Genomic DNA, 18,538 nt, shown 5'->3' with positions numbered 1-18,538 from the left:
TCCCAGAAAAGGAGCATGGCCCAGACAGGTGTGGGAAAAGGACCTGCCCTCCGTGGGCATTCTAGGAAGAGGCTGGAGGAAGGAAGGGAAGGGGAGGCGAGAGGAGGGCAGCGGACCAGGGGCTGGCTCTGTTTCCCCCTCTCACGGAACTGGGGCCACCCTGGGGGCGGGCGGAGGGCCGGGCTGGAGGAGGAGGGAGCCGGATTCGTAAACAAACCTGCCCGGGCCACGAGGTGCCCAGAGGAATGGGGTGGGGCTTGCCGGCCTCAGGCCCAGCCCGGAGCTGGAAGACTGGCGTGAGCTGGCCTGGGGCCTCTCCACCCCCAGTTTCCGGGTAGGGGTGGGCCCTCTGGCTCTCCCCAGCCGCAAACCCCTCCTTCCGGCTTTGCGCGCCCTCCCTCCCTCGAGCCCAAGAAGCTAGCTGAAGTTCGTGGAGGCCTGACACCTGACTTCTCAGCGCTTCTTCCGGAAGCCTTCACTGCCCCCAGGGAGAAAAACTGGGCGAGTGGGTGGCTCCTGTAGGGGAAAGGCCCTGGAACACCATGTTAGTTCCTTCTTGGTATGACCAGGAAAATAGTGGAGAGAAGGAGGGAGAGGACAGGAGCGCCACAGACTTCTGTCTCCAAGAGGGGTTTTCCGCACCACTGCCTGCGACCCAGATGCCCTGCTTAGAAGCACTAAACTTCACCGCCTCCTGCCAGCGCTCTGCGCTCCCCTCCCCCGCCGCTGTAGGCGATCAGAGGTGCCTGGGCAAAGGTCCCTGGGAGTGTCCCAGGAAGAATTTCTCCAGTCACTCACAAACTCATAACTAACATCTGTAGATATATTATCCCTTTCCAAAGGTAGGAAATAAACAGAGCTTGAGAAGTGTGCCCGATCAAGGTCTCAAGGCAGGTGAGGCAGGACTCCCTGACTACAATTCTACTTCTTTAGCATTTCCCTAAGTGTGCAGTGACCACTGGTGGAATTTATTTACTTATTTATTTATTTTGAGACAGAGTCTTGCTCTGTTGACCAGGCTGGAGTGCAGTGACACGATCTTGGCTCCTTGCTACCTCTGCCTCCCGGGCTCAAGCAATTCTCCTGTCTCAGCCTCTGGAGTAGCTGGGATTACAGGCGTGAGGCACCATGCCCTGCTAATTGTTGTATCTTTAATAGAGATAGGGTTTCACCAAGTTGGCCAGGCTAGTCTTGAACTCCTGAGCTCAAGTGATCCGCCCACCTTGGGCTCCCAAAGTGCTGAGATTACAGGAGTGAGCCACCACGCTTGACAGGACAAAACCCCCTCTCTACTAAAATAAATTAGCCGGGTGAGGTGGCACGTGCCTGTAGACCCAGCTACTCTGGAGACTCTGAGGCAGGAGAATCGCTTGAGTCCAGAAGGCGGAGTTTGCGGTAAGCCGAGATCTCGCCATTGCACTCCAGCCTGGGCAACAAGAGTGAAACTCCGTCTCAAAATAATAATAATAATAATAATAATAATAATAATAATAATAATAATTGCTAAGTTCAGATGATGGGTGTTCTAGGTTCATTTTCTTCTCTTCTGATTTAAATGATTATTATTATTATTTTATTTATTTATTTTTTTGAGATGGAGTCTGGCTCTGTCGCCCAGGCTGGAGTCCAGTGGCGCGATCTCGGCTCACTGCAAGCTCCGCCTCCCGGATTCACGCCATTCTCCTGCCTCAGCCTCCCAGTAGCTGGGACTACAGGCGCCTGCCACCAGGCGCGGCTAATTTTTTTGTATTTTTAGTAGAGACGGGGTTTCACCATGTTAGCCAGGATGGTCTTGATCTCCTGACCTCGTGATCCGCCTGCCTCGGGCTCCCAAAGTGCTGGGATTACAGGCGTGAGCCACTGTGCCCGGCCTAAATGATTATTATTATAATTTTTTTTTGAGACGGAGTCTCCCTCTGTTGCCATGCTAGAGACGGTGTTTCACCATGTTGGCCAGGATGGTCTCCATCTCTTGACCTCATGATCTGCCCGCCTCAGCCTCCCAAAGTGCTGGGATTACAGGCGTGGGCCACCGCGCCCGGCCTTAAATGATTTATTTATTTTTTTTTTAGACGGAGTTTCCCCGTCTCTACTAAAAACACGAAACATTAGCCGGGTGTGGTGGTGCACACCTGTAGTCCCAGCTATTCAGGAGGCTGAGGCAGGGGAATCTCTTGAACCCAGGAGGTGTAGGCTGCATGAGCTGAGATCACGCCACTGAACTCAAGCCTGGCGACAGAGTGAAACTCCGTCTTAAAAAAAAAAAAAGCCAAGTGTCTTCCTCTGTGACATTGCACTAATACACACACAGTTGTGGTCTTCTAGAATGCCCTTCTGCCACAGGTCAAGAACTCACCGGCCGGGTGCGGTGGCTCACACTTGTAATCCCAGCACTTTGGGAGGCCAAGGCGGGCAGATCACGAGGTCAGGAGATCAAGACCATCCTGGCTAACACGGTGAAACCCCATCTCTACTAAAAATACAAAAAAAAATTAGCCGGGCGTGGTCCCAGCTACTTGGCAGGCTGAGGCAGGATAATGGCCTGAACCCGGGAGGCGGAGCTTGCAATGAGCCGAGATCGCGCCACTGCACTCCAGTCTGGGCGACAGAGCCAGACTCTGTCTCAAAAACAAACAAACAAACAAACAAACAAAAAACGAAGCAAAACAAAACCAAAAAAACTCACCTTTTTTTTTTTTTGAGATGGAGTTTCACTCTTGTTGCCCAGGCTGGAGTGCAATGGCGCAACCTTGGGTTAACTGCATCCTCTGCTTCCCGGGTTCAAGTGATTCTTCTGCCTCAGCCTCCCGAGTAGCTGGGATTACAGGCATGTGCCACCACACCTGACTAATTTTGTATTTTTAGTAGAGACGGGTTTCTTCATGTTGGTCAGGCTGGTCTCACACTCCTGACCTCGAGATCCACCCGCCTCGGCCTCCCAAAGTGCTGGGATTACAAGCGTGAGCCACTGCGCCCAGCCAGCCCTAAATGATTTTTTAACAGTACAAATGGTTAAATTTTTCAATTTTTTTTTTTTCTGAGACAGGATCTCACTTTGTCACTCAGGCTGGAGTGCAGTTGCATGATCATAGCTCACTGCAGCCTCCAACTTCTGGGCTCAAGTGATCCTCACACCTCAGTCTCCTAACTAGCTGAGACTACAGGCACTCGCCCCTGCACTCAGCTAATTTTTCTTTTTCTTTTTTTGAGATGGAGTCTCACTCTGTCACCCAGGCTGGAGTGGGGTGGCGTGATCTCAGCTCACTGCAAGCTCCACCTCCCGGGTTCACGCCATTCTCCTGCCTCAGCCTCCTGAGCAGCTGGGACCACAGGCACCCACCACCATGCCCGGCTAATTTTTTGTATTTTTAATAGAGGTGGGGTTTCACTGTGTTAGCCAGGATGGTCTTGATCTCCTGACTTCGTGATCTGCCCACCTCGGCCTCCCAAAGTGCTGGGATTCCAGGCTTGAGCCGCTGCGCCCGGCTGCACTCGGCTAATTTTTCTAAGTTTTGTAGAGATGAGGTCTGACTCTGTTGCCCTGCGGCTGGTCTTCAACTCCTGGCCTCGATATCCTCCTGCCTTGGCCTCCCAAAGTACTAAAGTTAGAGGCGTGAACTGCCATGCCTGGCCCCAACTGTATTAGTTTTATTTAACTTCAATTTTTTTTTTTTTTGAGACGGAGTCTCGCTCTGTCACCCAGGCTGGAGTGCAGTGGCACATTCTTGGCTCACTGCCACCTCCCCCTCCTGGGTTCAAGCAATTCTCTGTCTCATCCTCCCTAGTAGCTGGGATTACAGGCACCCACCACCACACCTGGCTAATTTTTGTATTTTTAGTAGAAATGGGGTTTCACCATCTTGGCCAGGCTGGGCTTGAACTCCTGACCTCGTGATCCACCTGCCTCAGCCTCCCAAAGTGCTGGGATTACAGGCGTGAGCCACTGCGCCTGGCCCCTAGTTTTATTTTTTATTATTTATTTATTATTTACTTTTTAAATTTTTTATTTTATTTTATTTATTTTTTTTTTTTTGAGACAGAGTTTCGTTCTTGTTGCCCAGGCTGGAGTGCAATGACGCGATCTCGGCTCACCGCAACCTCGGCCTCCCAGGTTCAAGCAATTCTCCTGCCTCAGCCTCCCGAGTAGCTGGGATTACAGGCATGCACCACCACGCCCGGCTAATTTTGTATTTTTACTAGAGATGGGGGTTTCTCCATGTTGAGGCTGGTCTCGAACTCCTGACCTCAGGTGATCCGCCCACCTCAGCCTCCCAAAGTGCTGGGATTACAGGCGTGAGCCACTGCGCCTGGCCTTAATTTTTATTTTTTGAGGCAGAGTTTCACTCTGTCACCCAGGCTGGAGTGCAGTGGCACCATCTCGGTTCACTGCAACCTCTACCTCACAGGTTCAAGGCATTCTCCTACCTCAGCTTCCTGAGTAGCTGGAACTACAGGTGCGTACCACCATGCTGGGTGAATTTTTGTATTTTTTTGTAGAGATAGGGTTTCACCATGTTGACCAGGCTTGTCTCAAACTCCTGACCTCAGGTAATCCGCCCACCTCAGCCTCCCAAAGTACTGGGATTACAGGTATGAGCTATTGCACCCAGCCATTTTCAATTTTTTTTTTCTTTTTTTGGAGATGAGTCTTGCTCTGTCGCCCAGGCTGGAGTGCAGTGGCACGATCTCAGCTCACTGCAACCTCCATCTCCTGGGTTCAAGCAATTCTCGTGCCTCAGCCTCCCTAGTAGCTGGGACTACATGTGCATGCCACCACGCCCGGCTAATTTTTTGTATTTTAGTAGAGATAGGGTTTCACTGTGTTGCCCAGGCTGGTTTTGAACTCCTGAGCGCAGGCAATCTGCCAGCCTCGGCCTCCCAGAGTGCTAGGATTACAGGCGTCGGCTACCGCGCCCAACCCATTTAAAAAAATTTTTAAGACAGTCTCGTTCTGTCACCCAGGCCAGAGTGCAGTGTCATGATCATAGCTCACTACAGCCATGCACTCCTGGGCTCAAGCCATCTTTCTGCCTCAGCCTCCCAAAGTGCTGGGATTACAGGTCTGAGCCACCACGCCTAGCCAAATTTTTTTTTTTTTTTGAGACGGAATCTCTCTCTTTAGCCCAGGCTGGAGTGCAGTGGCGTGATCTCGGCTCACTGCAAGCTCCGCCTCCCGGGTTCACGCCATTCTCCTGCCTCAGCCTCCGGAGTAGCTGGGACTACAGGCGCCCGCCGTCGCGCCCGGCTAATTTTTTGTATTTTTTGTAGAGACCGGGTTTCAACGTGTTAGCCAGGATGGTCTGGATCTCCTGACCTCGTGATCCACCTGCTTCGGCCTCCCAAAGTGCTGGGATTACAAGCGTGAGCCACCGTGCCCGGCCCAGAATTTTTAAATTAAATAATAATAATCGTAACAGTACAAATCCCCACTGGCTCCTTTCTCCTTTCACATCACAAGCCTCAGGCCCATGGCCTCCTTTCCTTTTTGCTGGAGTTCAGCACTTTCTCAGCTGCTTTTTTCTCTTTTCCCCTTGCCAAATGAGCCTGTGGCACAGGGCCAAGGACATGTCACCTTTTGCCATATATCTCAAGGCTTAGTGGTTTAGAGAAGGGAAGTAGAAGTCCGAGCTTCTCCCACACAGTGCCTTTTTAGAATCAGTTTCTGGCCTGGGCGCGGTGGCTCACGCCTGTAATCCCAGCACTTTGGGAGGCCAAGGCAGGTGAATCATCTGAGGTCAGGAGTTTGAAACCAGCCTGACCAACATGGTGACACCCCGCCTCTACTAAAAACACAAAAAGTTAGCTGGGCATGGTGTCAGGCACCTGTAATCCCAGCTACACAGGAGGCTGAGGCAGGAGAATCACTTGAACCCGGGAGGCAGAGGTTGCGGTGAGCCGAGATTGTGCCATTGCACTCCAGCCTGGGCAACAATGGTGAAACTACATCTCAAAAAAAAAAAAAAAAAAAAAAAATAGGATGGTTTCTGGGCAGTAGTAGTAGAATTTGGGTGAGACCTTCTCCCTCATACTGAAGACATCCATGTCCCAGCTAATCAGCATCTATCACACTGTGTGGCTAGTCCAGAGAAGGAAAGGACTCAGAGAAAATTGAGCAATCCTCCATGGGTCAGACTTTTGACTAAGGCTGAGGAGGGAGGGAGTAGCCTGGAGAACTTCCTATCTTCCAACTCGTGTGATTATTTACACCCCCACCATTCTCTGCTCTTCTTACTCCCACCCCAGACTAAGGCCACTCTTTACTGATGTTCTTTCATCAGTGTTGAACATGCTGTGTGCAAGACAGTGTGCTAGACACTGGGAAAGATGAGGGGGATGAGATATGGCCCTGACTCATGGCCTGCTAGAGGAAGCAGATGCATACACAGGTTATTATAATATACTGTCCTACTTGCAATGAAGGACATACATACACAAGTTATCCCTTTTTCAGGGAACTTCTGTCTAGTTTACTCCCCAACAAACTTCTACTCTCTCCCTCTCAAACTTTCATCATCCCCTGTCACAGGGGATATGGAATGAGATTTGATATGTAATTAGTCATCAAATCTCATCAATTTAAAATAAAACAAAATAATAAAATAAAAGAAGGCTGGGCGTGGTGGCTCATGCCTGTAATTCCAGCACTTTGAGAGGCCAAGGCAGGCAGATCACTTGAGCCAAGGGGTTAGAGACTAGCCTGGGCAACATGGTGAAACCTTGTCCATAATAAAAATACAAAAATTAGCAAGGCGTGGTGGCATGTGCCCGTAGTTCCAGCTACTCAGGAGGCTGAGGCAGGAGAATCGCTGAACGGGGAGGTGGAGGTTGCAGTGAGCTGAGATGGCGCCCCTGCACTCCAGCCTGGGCAACAGTGAGTGAGACTTTGTCTAAAAAAGAAAAAGGAGGCCAGGCGCAGTGGCTCATGCCTGTAATCCCAGCACTTTGGGAGGCCGAGGCAGGCGGATCACAAGGTCAGATCGAGACCATCCTGGCTAATGCAGTGAAACCCTGTCTCTACTAAAAATACAAAAAATTTAGCCGGCGGCCGGGCGCGGTGGCTCACGCCTGTAATCCCAGCAATTTGGGAGGCCGAGGCGGGTGGATCATGAGGTCAGGAGTTCAAGACTAGCCTGACCAATATGGTAAAACCCCATCTCTACTAAAAATACAAAAATGAGCCGGATGCAGTGGCAGTTGCCCGTAATCTCAGCTACTCAGGAGACTGAGGCAGGAGAATTGCTTGAACCTGGGCAGCAGAGGTTGCAGTCAGCTGAGATCACGCCACTGCACTCAAGCCTGGGTGACAGACTGAGACTCTGTCTTAAAAAAAAAAAAAAAAATTAGCTGGGTGTGGTGGCAGGCACCTGTAGTCCCAGCTATTCGGGAGGCTGAGGCAGGAGAATGGCAGGAACCCGGGAGGCAGAGCTTGCAGTGAGCCAAGATCGTGCCACTGCACTCCAGCCTGGGTGACAGAGTGAGACTCCGTCTCAAAAAAAAAAAAAAGAGAAAAGAAAAAAAAGTTCCATCCATTTTATTCCACGAATATCTTTCAGACCCAACTCTTCCACTCTCTCCGTACCTCTAGTCACTGCTTTAGTTATCCACAAGCCCCAACCCCCTCATTGCTTACTTGCATTGCTACTATACATGCATTTAACAGATTCCTTGTCTCCCGGTTGATCTTCATCAAAATAGGCACCATATTGTGGCCTCAGGGACTCTTACTGAACACCTGAACATAGACTTCATCATATGGTATACATGAAATCAAGATCGGGTGCAGTGGCTGACACCTGTAATCCCAACACTTTGTGAGACCAGGGCGGGCAGATCACTTGAGGTCAGGAGTTCGAGACCAGCCCAGTCAACATGGTGAAACCCTGTCTCTGCTAAAAATACAAAAATTAGCCGGGCGTGGTGGCGGGTGCCTGTAATCCCAGCTACTGGGGAGGCTGAGGCAGGAGAATCCCTTGAACCCAGGGGGCGGTGGTTGCAGTGAGGTGAGATTGTGCCACTGCACTCCACCCTGGGGGATAGAGCTAGACTCTGTCTTCAAAACAAAACAAACAAACAAACAAACAAATAAAATCTTTTGGCTGGGTGCCGTGGCTCACGCCTGTAATCCCAGCACTTTGGGAGGCTGAGGCAGGCAGATCACAAGGTCAAGAGTTTGAGACCAGCCTAGCCAATATGGTGAAACCCCGTCTCTACTAAAAATACAAAAATTAGCCAGGCGTGGTGGCAGGAACCTGTAGTCCCAGCTACTCAGGAGGCCGAGGCAGGAGAATTGCTTGAACCTGGGAGGCGGAGGTTGCAGTGAGCTGAGATTGCACCACTGCGCTCCAGCCTGGGCAACAGAGCAAGACTCTGGTCTCAAAAATAAATAAATAAAAATAAAAGTCTTTCCAGGCCCTACCTGTCACCTAGAGGTGTGAGAAGAATTCTTAGTCATGCCCACTCAACTACTTATCAGTCACAAAATAGGCCAAGTGCCAGCCGGGTGCGGTGGCTCACGCCTGTAATCCTAGCACTTTGAGAGGCCAAGGCGGGTGGATCATGAAGTCAGGAGGTCGAGACCATCCTGGCCAACATGGTGAAACCCTGTCTCTACTAAATATACAAAAAATTAGCCGGGCATGGTGGTACACACCTGTAGTCCCAGCTACTCGGGAGGCTGAGGCAGGGGAATTGCTTGAACCCGAAAGGCAGAGGTTGCAGTGAGCTGAGATAGCACCACTGCACTCGAGCCTGGCAACAGAGTGAGACTCCATCTCTTAAAAAAAAAAAAAAAAGACCAAGTACCTTCCTCTGTGACATTGCACTGATACACACACAGGTTGCCCTTCTGGAGTGCCCTTCTCCTGTAGGTCAAGAACTCACCTTTTTTTTTTCTTTTTTTTTTTTTCTTTGAGGTGGAGTTTCGCTCTGTAGCCCAGGCTGGAGTGCAGTGGCGCGATCTCAGCTCACTGCAAGCTCCACCTCCTGGGTTCGTGCCATTCTCCTGCCTCAGCCTCCCGAGTAGCTGGGACTACAGGCACCTGCCACCATACCCGGCTAATTTTTTTGTATTTTTAGTAGAGACGGGGTTTCATCGGTTAGCCAGGATATTCTCGATCTTCTGACCTCGTGATCCACCCACCTCAGCCTCCCAAAGTGCTGGGATTACAGGCGTAAGCCACTGCACCCGGCTGATAAATTTTGTATTTTTAGTAGAGACGGGGTTTCTCCATGTTGGTCAGGCTAGTCTCGAACTCCCGACCTCAGGTGATCTGCCCACCTCAGCCTCCCAAAGTGCTGGGAAGAACTCACCTTTCAAGTCTTAGATTAAGCTTCAGCTCTGGAGTCCTTTCCAAAAACATCCCTTTTCTTTTTGAATTGGCCACACTACTCCAGGAGCCCCCATTGCAACCTCTACTGTCTTTAAGCATGCAGCTGTTAACACTTTGTTGCACTTACTAGTCTGTACCTTTATACACACAGTGGAGGCTTGACAAGGTGGCTTATGCCTGTAATCCCAGCACTTTGAGAGGCCGAGGTGGGTGGATCACCTGAGGTCAGGAGTTCGAGACCAGCCTGGCCAACATAGCGAAACCCCATCTCCATTAAAAATACAAAAATTAGCTGGGAGTGGTGGTGGGTACCTGTAATCCCAGCTACTTGGGAGGCTGAGGCAAGAGAATCGATTGAACATGGGAGGTGGAGGTTTCAGTGAGCTGAGATCGTGCCACTGCACTCCAACCTGGCGACAGAGTGAGACTCCGTCTCAAAAAAATAAAAAAATAAAAAACACACAGTGGAGTGAAGTGAATCTGGGTGGTGGAGCCACAGGTCAAGGTTCACATCCAAGCTTATTTATTTATTTATTTATTTATTTATTTATTTATTTATTTTGAGATGGAGTCTCGCTCTGTCGCCAGGCTGGAGTGCAGTGATGTGATCTCGGCTCACTGCAATCTCCGCCTCCTGGGTTCAAGTGATTCTCCTGCTTCAACCTCCTGAGTAGCTGGGACTATAGGCGTGTGCCACCATGCCCAGCTAATTTTTGTGTTTTTAGTAGAGACGGGGTTTCACCACATTGGCCAGGATGGTCTCAATCTCTTGACCTTGTGATCCGCCCGCCTTGGCCTCCCAAAGTGCTGGGATTACAGGCATGAGCCACCACACCCAGCCTATTTATTTATTTTTTTAAGACAATGTCTAGCTCTGTTGCCCAGGCTGGAGTGCAGTGGCATGATCTCGCCTCACTGCAACCTCCCCGTCCCGGGTTCAAGTGATTCTTCTGCCTCAGACTCCCGAGTAGCTGGGACTACAGGCGCTCACCACCACACCTGGCTAATTTTTGTATTTTTAGTAGAGACGGGGTTTTACCATATTGGCCAGGCTGGTCTCAAACTCCTGACCTTGTGATCTGCCTGGACGGCCTCCCAAAGTGCTGGGATTATAGGCATGAGCCCCCGTGCCCAACAAATTCTTTTCTTTTTTTTTTTCTTTTTGAAACAGAGTCTTGCTCTGTCACCAGGTTGGAATGTAGTGGCATGATCTTGGCTCACTGCAATCTCCACCTCCCGGGTTCAAGCAATTCTCCTGCCTCAGCCTCCCAAGTAGCTGGGATTACAGGCGTGCACCACCATGCCCAGCTAATTTTTGTATTTTTAGGAGAGACGGGGTTTCACCATGTTGGCCAGGATGATCTTGATCTCTTGACCTCATGATCCGCCCGCCTCGACCTCCCAAAGTGCTGGGATTACAGGCGTGAATTTCAGTTATTTCTGTGACAGGGTCTCACTCTGTCGCCCAGGCTGGAGTGCAGTGGCTCAATCATCGGTATTTTTTGTAGAGAAGAGGTTTTGCCATGTTACCAGGCTGGTCTTGAACTCCTGGGCTCAATCATTCCACCTGCCTTGGCCTTCCAAAGTGCTATGCTTACAAACATGAGCCACTGAGCCCGGCCATATTTTTATTTTTATTAAAAAGAAATTTTTTTTTTTAACTGGGCATGGTGCTGCACACCTGAAGTCCCAAGCCACTCCAGAGGCTGATGTGGGAGGGTCGCTTGAATTTGGGAGACAGAGGTTGCAGTGAGCCCAGATTGTACCACTGTACTTTAGCATGGGCGACAGGGCTTTTGTCTTAAAACAGAAACAAAACAAAAAATAAATAAAAACAAAAACAAACAAAAATAAATAATTTGTTTGTTTTTGTTTTTGAGATACGGTCTCACTGTCACCCAGCCTGGAGTGCAGTCACGGGATCTCAGCTCATTGCAGCCTCCACCTCCTGGGCTCAAGCAATCCTCTTGCCTCAGCCTCCCAAGTAGCTGGGACCATGGGTGCCTGTCACCATACCAGGCTAATTTTTTTTTTTTTGTAGAGAAAAGGTCCCACTATGTTTTCCAGGCTGGTTTTGAACTCCTGGGCTGAAGGGATCCTCCTGCCTTGGCCTCCCAACGTGCTGGGATTATAGGCATAAGCCACCTTGCCCAACCTTAAAATAAATTTTTGAGACAGGGTCTTAGGTGTCATCCAGGCTGGAATGCAGTGGTACAGTCATGGTTCACTGCAGCCTCCACCTCCTGGGCTCAAGTGATCTTTCTCTCTCAACTTCCTAAGTAGCTGGGACTACAGGCGCAGACTACCACACCCAGCTAATTTTTAAAATTTTTTCTAGAGATGGAGTCCCAATACGTTGCCCAAGCTGGACTCAAACTCCTGGACTCATGATATTTCTGCCTTGGCCTCCCAAAGTGCTGAGATTACAGACATGAGCCACTGCGAGTGCCCAGCCAACTGTTTTTATTTTTTGTAGAGACAGGGTCTGTGCTCAGCCTACATTTTTTTTTTTGAGATGGAGTTTCACTCTTGTTGCCCAGGCTGGAGTGCAATGGTGCAATCTCGGCTCAGCAACCTCTGCCTCACAGGTTCAAGTGATTCTCCTGCCTCAGCCTCCCGAGCATCTGGGATTAGAGGCATGTGCCACCATGCCCGTCTAATTTTATATTTTTTAGTAGAGACAGGGTTTCTCCATGTTGGTCAGGCTGGTCTTGAACTACCAACCTCAAGTGATCAACCGACCTCGGCCTCCCAAAATGCTGGAATTACAGGCGTGAGCCACCGCGCCTGGCTCAGGCTATATTTTTGTATTGCATTGTTTGACTTAAAGAAGCTTGTTATGTGTATTAGATATTAATTATTTGTTTAAAATATGACAAATATTTTCTCCCTATGGATTGTCTTTTTTTAAATTCTACACACGCTGCAGGTGTTGTTGTTGTTTTGTTTTGTTTTTTGACAGGAGTTTTGTTCTTGTTGCCTGCCACCACGCTCAGCTAATTTTTTTTTTTTTTTAATTGAGATGGAGTCCAGGATGGTCTCAATCTCTTTACATCATGATCCACCCGCCTCGGCCTACCAAAGTGCTGGGATTATAGGCATGAGCCACTGTGCCTGGCCCCTAGATTTATTTTTTTCTAGAGTTTTACAGAATGGAGGCTGAAGCAACTCCATCTTGGATGTTAATCTGCTATGTTGACTTCTGAATAACCCCAGCTCCAGGAATGCCTCTAAAATTTTTATTTTATCTACTGATCTTTGGGTAAGAGCATATACTTATCATAAATCCTGCCCTTAGGTCAAGACCACCTTGACCATGAATCTTGCCCTTAGGCAGATTCACAGAACATTCTTGCCTTTCCCATAGAGGTCGACTTCAATTGTCCTACACATTCCTTCCCTATGGTATATAAATTCTGGATCTGGAGATTAATGGCACAGGGATACACTGTCTTGTCTCACCACTGCCAGAGATACAAACAGGGCTTCTGTTTGTAAGTCCCTGTTAAATGTTTCTTTCTTTTTTTGAGACGGTCTTGCTCTGTCGCCCAGGCTGGAGTGCAGTGGTGCAATCATGATTCACTGCAGCCTCAACCTCCCAGACTCAAGTGATCTTCCTGCCTCAGCCTCCCCAGTAGCTGGGACCATAGGCAGGTGACACCACACACAGCTAATTTTTTTTTTTTTTTGACGGAGTTTCGCTCTTGTTGCCCAGGCTGGAGTGCAGTGGCATGATCTTGGCTCACCGCAACCTCCGCCTCCCGGGTTCAAGCGATTCTCCTGCCTCAAGCGGCCGAGTAGCTGGGATTACAGGCATGTACCACCTCACGTGGCTAATTTTATATTTTTAGTAGAGACAGGGTTTCTCCATGTTGGTCAGGCTAGTCTTGAACTCCCGACCTCAGGTAATTCACCCACCTCGGCCTCCCAAAGTGCTGGGATTAAACAGGCGTGAACCACCACGCCCTGCCTTTTTCTGTTTTTTGAGACAGAGTCTCACTTTGTCACTCAGGCTAGAGTACAATGGCTTGATCTCGGCTCGAGGCAGCCTCTGTCTCCCGGGTTCACGTGATTCTCCTGCCTCAGCCACCCATGTAGCTGGGATTACAGGCACCTGCCATCATGCCTGGCTAATTTTTGTATTTTTGTAGAGAATGGGGTCACCATGTTGGCCAGGCTGGTCTTGAACTCCTGACCTCAGGTGATCTGCCTGCCTCAGCCTCCCAAAGTGATGGGATTATAGGCGTGAGCCACTGTGCCTGGCCTACACAACCTCCGTCTCCCAGGTTCCAGCAATTCTCCTGCCTCAACCTGCCGAGTAGCTGAGATTACAGGCATGTGCCACCTCACCCGGCTAATTTTATATTTTTAGTAGAGACAGGGTTTCTCCATCTTGGTCAGGCTGGTCTCCAACTCCTGACCTCAGGTGATCCACCCGCCTCGGCCTCCCAAAGTGCTGGGATTACGTGCGTGAACCACTGTGCCTGGCCAAGATCTCTGTTTTAATGCTGGTCATTAGAGGGGCGAGGTGGCTGATGCCTGTAGTCCCAGCTACTTGGGAGGCTGAGGCAGGAGAATGGCGTGAACCCGGGAGGCGGAGCTTGCAGTGAGCTGAGATTGGGCCACCGTATTCCAGCCTGGGTGACAGAGTGAGACTCCGTCTCAAAAAAATAAAAATAAAGGCCAGGCGCAGTGGCTTACCCTTGTAATCCCAGCACTTTGGGAGGCTGAGGCGGGCGGATCACGAGGTCAGGAGATCGAGACCATGGTGAAACCCCTTCTCTACTAAAAATACAAAAATAAAAATTAAATTAAATTAAAAATAAAATAAAGTGTTTCAGTTGGTTGTTGGGGCTCATGCCTGTAATCCCAGCACTTTGGGAGGCTGAGGGGGGCCGATCATGAGGTCAAGAGATTGAGACCATCCTGGCTAACATGGTGAAACCTTGTCTCTACTAAAAATACAAAAATCAGCTGGGCGTGGTGGCACATGCTGCCTATAGTCCCAGCTACTCGAGAGGCTGAGGTAGGAGAATAACTTGAACCCGGGAGGTGGAGGTTGCAGTGAGCTGAGATCGCGCCACTGCACTCCAGCCTTGTGACAGAGCAAGACTTGACTCCGTCTCAAAAAAAAAAGTTTCATCCAGCAAAAAAAAGATTTATACATGTTTCTACAGGTATATCTAGTTTATCACTTCATTTATTTTATTTGTTTGTTTGTTTTTGTTTTTGTTTTTTGTTTTTTGTTTTTTTGAGACGGCATCTTGCTCTTCTCGCCCAGGCTGGAGTGTAATGGCACGATCTCGGCTCATTGCAACCTCCACCTCCCAGGTTCAAGCGATTCTCCTGTCTCAGCCTCCCAAGTAGCTGGGATTACAGGCACCCATCACCACACCCGGCTGATTTTTGTATTTTTAGTAGAGATGGGGTTTCGCCATGTTGGCCAGGCTGGTCTCAAACTCCTGACCTCAGGTGATCTGCCTCCCTCAGCCTCCCAAAGTGCTGGGATTACAGTCATGAGCCACTGCGCCCGGCCCATTTATTTTATTTTTTATCGTAGAGATGGGGTCCTGCTATGTTGAGCAGGCTGGTCTCTAACTACTGGCTTCAAGCAATCCTCCTGCCTCAGCCTCCCAAAGTGCTGGAATGCTAGAATTGCAGGTGTGAGCCACTGCACATGGCCTAGTTTATCACTTCTAACTTATGCATAGTATTCCCTGCAAGATGGAGAACTAGCTTCTTTTTAACTTTTTTATTATTATTATTACTTTTTGAGACATAGTCTTACTCTGTTGCCCAGGCTGGAGTTCAGTGGCACCGTGTTGGCTCACTGCAACCTCCATCTCCTGGGTTCAAGCAGTTCTCCTGCCTCAGCTTCCCAAGTAGCTGGGATTACAGGCACCCACCACCAAGCCCGGCTAGTTTTTATATTTTTAGTAGAGATGGTGTTTCACCATGTTGGCCAGGCTGGTCTCAAACTCCTGTCCTCAGGTGATCCACCCACCTCAGCCTCCGAAAGTGCTGAGATTACTGGTGTGAAGCCACCACGCCTGGCCAAGAACTAGCTTCTTGAACCAGAAAGCTGTCATGAATATTCTCAAACATGTTACCTTATAGTTCTGTGTAATACTTTCTCATGGTGAAGATTCTAATATAAAAGCCTGGTCATTTCACCTCCTTACTCCACATCTTTCAATAACTCTTCATTTCTTTTTCTTCTTTTAAGTTTCTGTGGGCTTTCTGAGAACAAAGATTAGACCTTGAGTGCAGTGGTAGGACGGCAGCTCACTGCAAACTGTCTCCCCAAGCTCAGGTGACTCTCCCACCTCAAGCTTCCCAAGTAGCTGGGACTACAGGTGGATGCCATCACGCCTGGCTAATTTTGTGTGTCTGTGTGTATTTTTACCTGAGGTGTGGTTTCACAAAGCCTTCCAGAGGCCAAGGCTGGTCTGGAACTCCTGGACTCAAGCAATCCACCCGCCTCAGCCTCCCAAAGTGCTGGGATTACAGGCATGAGTCACTGTGCCCAGCCTCTTTTTTTCTTCTTTCTTTTTTCTTAAGACAGGGTCTCATTGGGCGCAGTGATTCACGCCTGTAATCCCAGCACTTTGGGCGGCTGAGGTGGGTGGACCACCTGGGTTTAGGAGTTTAAGACTAGCCTGGGCAACATGGCGAAACCCAGTCTCTACCAAAAATACAAAAAAATTAGCCGGGTGTTGTGGTGCTCGCCTGTGATCTCAGCTACTCAGGAGGCTGAGGTAGGAGGACTGTTTGAGCCTGGGAGGCAGAGGTTGCAGTGAGTCAAGATTACGCCATTGTACTCCACCCTCAGTGACAGAATGAGACCCCATCTCAAAAAAAAAAAAAAAAAAAAGGTCTCATCATGTAGCTGATCTGGAACTGGGCTCAAACTGGACTCCAGCGACCCTCCTGTGGGACTATAGGCATGTGCCAGTACATCCAGCCCTTCTTTTCTTTTGTTTCTTCTTTTGTTTTTTCTTTTCTTTTATTTTCCTTCCTTTCTCCCTCCCTCCCCACTGCCTTCCTTCCTGCCTTCCTCCCTCCCTCGCTTCCTTCCATCCATCTTGCTCTGTCACCCAGGCTGGAGTGCAATGACATTATCATAGATCACTGCATGTTTGAACTCCTGGGCCCAAGGTCTCCCCCTGCCTCTGCCTCCAGAGTAGCTGGGACTATAGGTGTGCACCACTGTGCTTAGCTCCCGGCTCTTTATTTATCTTCATTAACTCTTTTTTTTTCTTTTTGAGACGGAGTTTTTGCTCTTGTTGCCCAGGCTGGAGTGCAGTGCCGCGATCTCGGCTCACTGCAACCTCCGCCTCCTGGGTTCAAGCGATTCTCCTGCCTCAGCCTCCCGAGTAGCTGGGATTACAGGCACGTGCCACCATGCCCAGCTAATTTTTTCTATGTTTTTAGTAGAAACGGGGGTTTCATCTTGTTGGCCAGGCTGGTCTTAAACTCCTGACCTCAGGTGATCCACCTACCTCGGCCTCCCAAAGCAGAGGCATTATAGGCATGAGCCACTGCGCCCAGCCTTATCTTCATTAACTCTTATAACTTTTTTTTTTTTTTTTTTTTTTTCTGAGACAGAGTTTTGGTCTTGTTGCCCAGGCTGGAGAGCAATGGTGCAATCTCGGCTCACTGCAACCTCTGCACCCCGGGTTCAAGTGATCCTCCTGCCTCAGCCTCCCGAGTAGCTGGGATTACAGTCGTGTGCCATCATACCTAGCTAATTTTGTATTTTTAGTAGAGATGGGGTTTTACCATGTTGGTCAGGCTGGTCTCGAACTCCTGACCTCAGGTAATCTGCCCCCTCAGCCTCCCAAAAATGCTGGGATTACAAGCATGAGCCATTGTGCCCGGCCAACTCTTATAACTCTTGAAAGAAGTTCCTGACAGGTATTCACCAAATGCATGTTGATTTGAGGAGAGAATCCAGACCATGCTAGCCTCCACTGTGGGAAGCTGGGCCTGTCCTGTCCCTGTGCTGGTGAAGCAGGGCGTGTACATTCATGTTCTCCAGAGATTGTCTGTCTTACTCCTCCTGGCCCACTTTCCCCTACTGCCACCTTTTCCCCACCGTACTGTATGCATCTGCCATTCATCCTTCACAGTTCTTTTTTTTTGAGATGGAGTTTCGCTCTTGTTACCCAGGCTGGAGTGCAATGGCACAATCGCAGCTCACCGCACCCTCCGCCTCCCTGGTTCCAGAGATTCTCCTGCCTCAGTCTCCCAAGTAGGTGCAATTACAGGCATGCACCACCACGCCCAGCTAATTTTGTATTTCTTCTTATTTTTTTTTTGGAGACAGAGTCTTGCTCTGTTGCCCAGGCTGGAGTGCAGTGGCGCGATCTCGGCTCACTGCATCCTCTGCCTCCCTGGTTCAAGAGATTCTCCTGCCTCAGCCTCCCGAGTAGCTGGGACTACCGGTGCGCGCCACCACACCCAGCTAATTTTTGTATTTTTAGTAGAGAAGGGGTTTTATCATGTTGGCCAGGATGGTCTCGATTTCTTGACCTCGTGATCCACCCCGCCTCGGCCTCCCAAAGTGCCGGGATTACAGGCGTGAGGCACCACATCCGGCCAATTTTTGTATTTTTAGTAGAGACGGGGTTTTACCATGTTAGCCAGGATGGTCTCGAACTCCTGACCTCAGGCAATCCACCCACCTCAGCCTCCCAACGTGCTGGGATTACAGGCATGAGCCACCATGCCTAGCCTAATTTTGTGGTTTTAGCAGAGATGGGGTTTCTCCATGTTGATCAGGCTGGTCTCAAACTCCAGACCTCAAACAATCCGCCCACCTTGGCCTCTAAAAGTGTTGGGATTACAGGTGTGAGCCACCACGCCCGGACTCATCCTTCACAGTTCTACACTGTGGTTCCCTTCTCTGGGAAGTCTCCTCAAGACTGAGCTGGGGACTGCTACCTCAGCATTGGCCTTTGTAATAACTGCCATGTGGCAGGCAATGACCTTTATGTATTTCTCCTTACGCAGTGAATTTTTATATATCATCTTAGTCTACTATGAAGGTCTTCTACCCCCATTTTATACACAAGGAGACTGAGGCTCAGATAGATAGCGCAACTAGCAAGCGTTGGCACTTTAATTCACACCCTACTCTGACTTCCAAGGGAGTGTACTTAAGCACTACTCAAACTGCCTCTCAGTATCATACAAGTGTAGTGTTT

General features: G+C 49.5%; 3 annotated features.

Annotated features, from left to right (window-relative positions):
- Window positions 80-429: a silencer, noted in NCBI's record as "silent region_4508". NCBI's record gives its function as "represses an Ori minimal core promoter by ATAC-STARR-seq in GM12878 lymphoblastoid cells {active_cell/tissue: GM12878}" and the evidence as "EXISTENCE:reporter gene assay evidence [ECO:0000049][PMID:35858748]".
- Window positions 510-779: an enhancer, noted in NCBI's record as "active region_6418". NCBI's record gives its function as "activates an Ori minimal core promoter by ATAC-STARR-seq in GM12878 lymphoblastoid cells {active_cell/tissue: GM12878}" and the evidence as "EXISTENCE:reporter gene assay evidence [ECO:0000049][PMID:35858748]".
- Window positions 900-949: an enhancer, noted in NCBI's record as "active region_6417". NCBI's record gives its function as "activates an Ori minimal core promoter by ATAC-STARR-seq in GM12878 lymphoblastoid cells {active_cell/tissue: GM12878}" and the evidence as "EXISTENCE:reporter gene assay evidence [ECO:0000049][PMID:35858748]".

This window comes from Homo sapiens, chromosome 12 (assembly GCF_000001405.40).
Source record: "Homo sapiens chromosome 12, GRCh38.p14 Primary Assembly".
Lineage (NCBI taxonomy): Eukaryota > Metazoa > Chordata > Mammalia > Primates > Hominidae > Homo > Homo sapiens.
This window is presented reverse-complemented; position numbering and strand designations above follow the sequence as displayed.